Raw genomic sequence first — 7,667 nt, 5'->3', positions numbered from 1 at the left:
TGCCTCAGACTCCCAAGCAGCTGGGTTTACAGGTGCGTGCCACCATGCCCAGCTAATTTTTTTGTATTTTTAGTAGAGACGGGGTTTCACCATTTTGGCCAGGCTGGTCTTGAATTCCTGACCTCAGATGATCCGCCTGCCTCGGCCTCCCACATTATAGTGGCTTACGCCTGTAATCCCAGCATTATAGTTATTTTTATACTGTATTTTGCTTATCTGTGTGTCCTTATTTTATTTATTTTTGCATTTGATCCTGCATGAGATTAATTTAACCTATTGACCTTTTCAAATAATGAGTTTTTGGTGTTATGATTCTCTATTTCTATTTAAATTTTTTATTTAGTTGATTTCCACTCTCAATTTATTATTTCCTTGTTTTTTAAAGATATTTTCTCTTACCTTTTTCACCTTCTTGAATTGAATGCTTAGCTATGTTTTTCTTTAATCTTTCTGTTTCCTAATAAATGTGTTCAAAGTTATAAACTTCTCCATAAATATTGTTCAGGTGTGACTCACCAATTTTGACATATAGTATGAATTTCATTGTTCAGTTATGAATACTTTGTTATTTCTGTTATGATTTCCAAAGGTTATTTAATACATATTTTGTGGCTTTCAGATATATGGGATTTAAAATTTTATTAACTTTTACTTTTATTGCAACATAATTACCAAGTTAGAAATTAATTTTGTTTTCTTTATCTAACAGTTTCTGAGGGTGTGTTTTAAAGTCTTAAGCTACAATTTTTGTCTATTTTTGTTCACACTGCTACCTATCCATATTGATAGGTGCATTTATGTTCACAATGCCTAAATATTCTTGCACTATTGTTTCCTTTATTAAGGGAACTCTTGATTTTCCTCTTAGTCCTTTCTCTTTGTCCTTTATGATTTTTTCCATGGATTTTTATTTTGTCAGAGGTTAACAGTGCAATTCCAGTTTTCATTGGAATTTGGAATAATTAGCAGGTTACTTTTTTCTCTTTTCTGTATCCTATTGTTTGAATGATACATCTTTTAAACAGCATGTTATTTAATCTTTTTTAAAAAATTAATATCTAACATGGGATCTCTGTCTTTAAAGTTGTGTATTACTATTATGGTATATTTTTATATAATGTTCTGTTTAACTGCAGTGCATCAGCCATCTCCTTTGTATTCCTGGACAGAGGCAATCCCCTTGGGCTGTAACACATCAGCTCAGGGGGTTTAGATAGGGAAGAAGTAAAGGAATGATACATGGCATGTGACTGGGTGGTGGAAATATATTTTCACTCCAGCAGGACTTTTATTCTGCCTTTATATTACCCCATGGCAGTGACCTGGAAGGTTGCTGTGGATTTATTGGTGATGAGGCAGACTATGACTATCCCAAAGTAATCTGTGAGAAAGGTTAAGAACAGAATTTTAAAGCTGTCTCTAAACTAGTGCTTAATGCTGTGACCCAGGTTGCCACTCTCCTATACAATGACTTTCATAAGCTTTCTCCCTAGGCGTTTTCTTACTGCTTTTATATTGGTTGGTTCAGACCTGTGTTTCCCTCTCAAGTCTGCGGTTTCTCTAGGGTTGATTTAGGGGAAGGGAAACCACATTCTGTGCTGGTATACTATCTTGTTTTGAAGCCACAGGTAAACTTTATAAATATATTTATAAGGGTGGTTGTACAGAGATATTTTGAAAAAAATTACCCATTAAAAACCGTCATTCTCAGCAAACTAACACAGGAACAGAAAACCAAATACCGCATGTTCTCACTCATTAGTGGGAGTTGAACAATGAGAACACATGGACTCAGGGAGGGGAACATCACACACCGGGGCCTGTTGGGGGTAGGGAGCTAGGGGAGGGATAGCATTAGGAGAAATACCTAATGTAGATGACAGGTTAATGGGTGCAGCAAACCACCATGGTATGTGTATAACCTATGTAACAAACCTGTACGTTCTGCACATGTATCCCAGAATTTACAGTATAATAAAATAAATAAATAATAAACAAAATGGAAAAAAAAAAACTACTCTAAAACCCCAAACAAAGTGACCTTGGCAAATCATCTAATAGGAATATTAGAAAAGCCAAAATGCTTTATACTGCTACCCAACACTTTCCTCAGGACCAAATGAATCATACCATAGCACTCCTAAGACTTGAAAAGTAGCTTGACATGTTAATTTGGTTAGTTTTCCCATCTTTTCTTTCTCCGAATTTTTCCTCATCCCATTTTTAAAATGATATCCTTGCACTCAGTATTATTATTGTTTTAAAACTCATCCTTAATATCATGCCAGGCTCTGCTGACTGTGGGAAGTTAAGCTTCTTAGGTGGTGGGCTGTTTAACAGGGTGAGATTATCTTCTCTTACTATCAGCAGGCAGCAGTGTTAACAGCATTAATCCTCCAACCCTGTCCATTTACTCTAATAACATCTGCCTGCACTCATGCATTCACATGTGTTAAATGGGACGATTGTATTAGTCTGTTCTCACTCTGCTAATAAAGACGTACTGGATACTGGGTAATTTATAAAGAAAAGAGGTTTAATGCACTCACAATTTCACCTGGCTGGGGGTGACCTCACAATCATGGTGGAAGTCAAAGGAGAAGCAAAGGCATGTCTGACATTGCGGCAGGCAAGAGGGAGCTTGCGTAGGTTTTATAAAGCTCCCCTTTATAAAACCATCAGATCCTGTGAAACTTACCCATTATCACTGGAACAGCATGTGAAAGACCTGGCCCCATTGAGAAGTGACAGCGTGCTGGCAGTCCTCAGAGCCCTCGCTTGCTCTCGGCACCTCCCCTGCCTGGGCTCCCACTTTGGTGGCATTTGAGGAGCCCTTCAGTCCCCCACTGCACTGTGGGAGCCCCTTTCTGGGCTGGCCAAGGCCGGAGCCCACTCCCTCAGCTTGCAGGGAGGTGTGGAGAGAGAGGCACGAGCGGGAACCGGGGCTGTGTGCGGCACTTGCGGGCCAGCTGGAGTTCCGGGTGGGCGTGGGCTTGGTGGGCCCCGCACTCGGAGCAGCCAGCCAGCCCTGCTGGCCCCGGGCAATGGGGGACTTAGCACCCAGGCCAGTGGCTGCGGAGGGTGTACTGATTCCCCCAGCAGTGCTGGCCCACCGGAGCTGCGCTCGATTTCTCGCCGAGCCTCGGCTGCCTTCCCACCGGGCAGGGCTCAGGACCTGCAGCCCGCCATGCCTGAGCCTCCCACCCACTCCATGGGCTCCTGTGCTGCCCGAGCCTCCCCGACGAGCGCCACCCCCTGCTCCATGCGCCCAGTCCCATCGACCACCCAAGGGCTGAGGAATGCGAGTGCACGGCGCAGGACTGGCAGGCAGCTCCACCTGCAGCCCTGGTGCAGGATCCACTAGGTGAAGCCAGCTGGGCTCTTGAGTCTGTTGGGGACGTGGAGAACCTTTATATCTAGCTCAGGGATTGTAAATACACCAATCAGCACCCTGTGTTTAGCTCAAGGTTTGTGAATGCACCAATCGACACTCTGTATCTAGCTGCTCTGGTGGGGCCTTGGAGAACCTGTGTGTGGAAACTCTGTGTCTAACTAATCTGATGGGGAAGTGGAGAACCTTTGTATCTAGCTCAGGGATTGTAAATGCACCAATCAGCGCCCTGACAAAACAGGCCACTCGGCTCTACCAATCAGCAGGATGTGGGTGGGGCCAGATAAGAGAATAAAAGCAGGCTGCCCGAGCCAGCATTGGCAACCCGCTTGGGTCCCCTTCCACACTGTGGAAGCTTTGTTCTTTCGCTCTTTGCGATAAATCTTGCTACTGCTCACTCTTTGGGTCCATGCTGCTTTTATGAGCTGTAACACTCACCGCAAAGATCTGCAGCTTCACTCCTGAGCCCAGCGAGACCACGAGCCCACCAGGAGGAACGAACAACTCCAGATGCGCTGCCTTAAGAGCTGTAACACTCACCGCGAAGGTCTGCAGCTTCACTCCTGAGCCAGCGAGACCACGAACCCACCAGAAGGAAGAAACTCTGAACACATCTGAACATCAGAAGGGACAGACTCCAGACACGCCACCTTAAGAGCTGTAACACTCACCGTGAGGGTCCGCGGCTTCATTCTTTAAGTCAGTGAGACCAAGAACCCACCAATTCCGGACACACCATGATTCAATTACCTCCCACTGGGTCCCTCCCATGACATGTGGGAATTATGGGAGCTACAATTCTAGATGAGATTTGGCCAAACCATATCATCCCTCCCCTGGCCTGTGCCAAATCTCATGTTCTCACATTTTAAAACCAATCATGCCTTCCTAACAGTCCCCGAAAGTCTTAACTCATTTCAGCATTAACTCAAATGTCCACAGTCCAAAGTCTCAGCCGAGACAAGGCAAGTCCCTTCTGCCTATGAGACTGTAAAATCAAAAGAAAGTTGGTTACTTCCTAGATACAATGGGGGTACAGGTATTGGCTAAATACAGCCATTCTGAATGGGAGAAATTGGCAAAAACAAAGGGACTATAGGCCCCATGCAAGTCTGAAATCCAATGGGGTGGTCAAATCTTAAAGCTCTGAAATGAAAATGGGGCCTTTGACTCCATGTCTCACATCCAGGTCATGCTGATGCACAAGGTAGGCTCCCATAGTTTTGGGAAGCTCTGCCCCTGTGGCTTTGCAGGGTATAGTCCCTTTCCTGGCTGCTTTCATGGGCTGGGATTGAGTGTCTGAGGCTTTTTCAGGCACACAGTGTAAGCTGTTGTTGGATCTACCATTCTGGGATCTGGAGGATGGTGACCTTCTTCTCACAGCTCCACTAGGCAGTGCCCCACTGGGGACTGTGTGGGTGCTCCCACCCAACATTTCCCTTTTGCACTGCCCTAGCAGAGGTTCTCCATGAGGTCACTGCCCCTGAAGCACATCTCTGCCTGGACATCCAAGCTTTTTCATACATCCTCTGAAATGTAAGCAGAGGTTCCCAAACCTCAGTTCTTGACTTTTGTGCACCCATAGGCCCAACACCATCTGGAAGCCACCAAGGCTTGGGGCTTGCACCCTCTGAAGCAATGGCCTGAGTGCTATGTTGGTACCATTTACCCATGGCTGTGATGTAGGGCACCAAGTCCCTTGACTGCACAAAGCAGCAAGGCCCTAGGCCAGCCGTGAACAATTTTTTCCTCCTATACCTCCCAGCTTGTGATGGGAGGGGCTGCTGTGAAGACCTCTAACATGGCCCAGAGACATTTTCCCCATTGTCTTGGTGATTAACATTTGGGTCCTCATTACTTATGCAAATTTCTGCATTAAATTACTTCTTAAGTTACTCCTAAGAAAATGTTTTTTTCTCTATCACATCATCTGGTTGCAAATTTTCTAAACTTTTATGCTCTACTTCCCTTTTAAACATAAGTTGCAATTCCAAACCATATCTTTGTGAATATACAAAACTGAATGCTTTTAACAATGCTCATGTCATATCTTGATTGCTTTGATGCTTAGAAATTTCTCCCATCAGAGGTCCTAAATCATCTCTCTCAGGTTCAAAGTTCCACAAATCTCTAGGGCAGGGGCAAAATGTTGCCAGTCTTTGCTAAAATAGCAAGAGTCACCTTTGCTCCAGTTCCCAACAAGTTCCTTCTCTCCATTTGAAACCATCTTAGCCAAGACTTTATTGTCCATATCACTATCAGCATTTTGGTCAAAGCCATTCAACAAGTCTCTAGGAAGTTCGAAAGTTTCCCACATCTTCCTATCTTCTGAGCCCTCCAGACTGTTCCAACCTCTGAGTATTACCCAGTTCCAAAGTTGCTTCCACATTTTCGGGTATCTTTACAGCAGCACCCCCTTCTGGTACCAATTTACTGTATTAGTGTGTTCTCACATTGCTAATAAAGACATACCTGAGACTGGGTGACTTACAAAGAAAAGAGGTTTAATGGATTTACAGTTCCACATGGCTGGGGTGGCCTCACAATCATGGCAGAAGGCAAGGAGAAGCAAAGCCATGTCTCACATGGTGGCAGGCAAAAGGTAACTTTGCAGGGGAACTTCCCTTTATAAAACCGTTAGATTTTGTGAGACTTATTCACTAATATGAGAATAGCACAGGAAAGACTCACCCCCATGATTCAATTCCCTCCCGCTGGGTCCCTCCTATGACATGGGAATTATGGGAGCTACAATTCAAGATGAGATTTGGGTGGGGATACAGCCAAACCATATCAATGACATAAAGTGATATTTGGGCTATCGCTACTTCCCTCATTAAGTGAACCAATATTTCTTTACCACTTTTCAGGGGAATGGCTCTTACCAGTATTTCTAGAAGAAACTACTGCAGTCCCTCTTCTACTGAGATTAAGGGATGATATCGCCAGGAACAAATGAACAGGCATGTAATCCAATTCAACTAAGTAAATTGTGAGATTTAAACATGTTTTTAAGGAAGAAGTCCCAGAAAAGTGGTTATACTACATTTTAAGATTGTGTATCAGATCCTAAACTCCCTATCTTATTGTTCAGATTAGACAGCCTATGCCTAAATGTTATCTCTTTATAAGGCAGAAATATTAAGCAGCAACATGTCATGGATAAAAACAATGGATTAGGAACTGAGAAACAGACATTAGTTCTGGCTAAATTATTAGGTACCTGTGTAACCTTAAGGAAATTAGACAATTTCACTGGGAAATCAGCTTCCCCATTTGTAAAATAATCTTTAAAGTATTATCCCTCAAAAATCCAAGATTCTATGTTTATAATACCTATGGTATTTTTAGTCAAGACCATTTTTGTTCCCAAACAGAATGATTAACAATTTTTCTTGTAAGATCATAAGAAAACATAGGTTATATTTGGTAAGTAATTGATATGGTTTGGCTCTGTCCGCACCAAAATCTCATCTTGAATTGTAGCTCCCATAATTTCCACGTGTTATGAGAGGGAACCAGTGGGAAGTAATTGAATCATCAGGGCAGTTTCCCCCATACCGTTCTTGTGGTAGTAAATAAGTCACATTTGATCTGATGGCTTTATAAGAGTTTGCCCTTTTTGGTTGGCTCTCATTCTCTCTTGTCTGCCACCATGTAAGACATGTCTTTCACCTTCTGCCATGATTGTGAGGCCTCTCCAGCTCCATGGAACTGTGAGTCCATTAAACCTCTTTTTCTTCATAAATTACCCAGTCATGGGTATGTGTTTATCAGCAGTGTGAAAAAGTACTAGACGGCAATCATGGAGGATGGATATATCCCAAATTGCGGGTGGTCCTGCTAGGGAGAATAGAGCCGGGCAAGCTGCTACATACTAGAACCTGGTCACCTGGGGATCATGGAGGTGCTAGGGATCAAAAGGGAGGAGATGATTTTAGGAAAGTGAGGCCATTGTAAAGCCACTCTGCCACTGTTAAAATCATGTCTGGGGCCATCCCTGAGTCCCTGGGAGGGCAGGGGACTTTCTGCACGCTCTCTATTTGTAGGCAGGGCATAAAATGCCCTGCTACAAACTGATGAAAGGAGTATACCTGATCTATGCCAGTTAACTGTAAATCAGTTTCTTTACAGATTGATAAGTTCTTTTTCGAAAGGACTTTTCATGTAGAATGCTCATTTACTACTATCTTTCTCATCTCTCTTTACCCCTTCCCCTCGTGAGACTCACATAGGAGTGAAATAAAGTGGTATAGACATATTTTGAAGATTGGAA

The 7,667-nt window shown here is 43.4% G+C and overlaps 1 annotated feature.

The window, feature by feature from the left end:
• Positions 3,033–3,571: an enhancer, noted in NCBI's record as "H3K27ac-H3K4me1 hESC enhancer chr1:75417464-75418002 (GRCh37/hg19 assembly coordinates)". NCBI's record gives its function as "activates a minimal SCP1, AML or CMV promoter by ChIP-STARR-seq in naive H9 embryonic stem cells {active_cell/tissue: H9 hESC(naive)}" and the evidence as "EXISTENCE:reporter gene assay evidence [ECO:0000049][PMID:30033119]".

The sequence above is a fragment of the Homo sapiens genome, chromosome 1 (assembly GCF_000001405.40).
Source record: "Homo sapiens chromosome 1, GRCh38.p14 Primary Assembly".
Classification (NCBI taxonomy): domain Eukaryota; kingdom Metazoa; phylum Chordata; class Mammalia; order Primates; family Hominidae; genus Homo; species Homo sapiens.
This window is presented reverse-complemented; position numbering and strand designations above follow the sequence as displayed.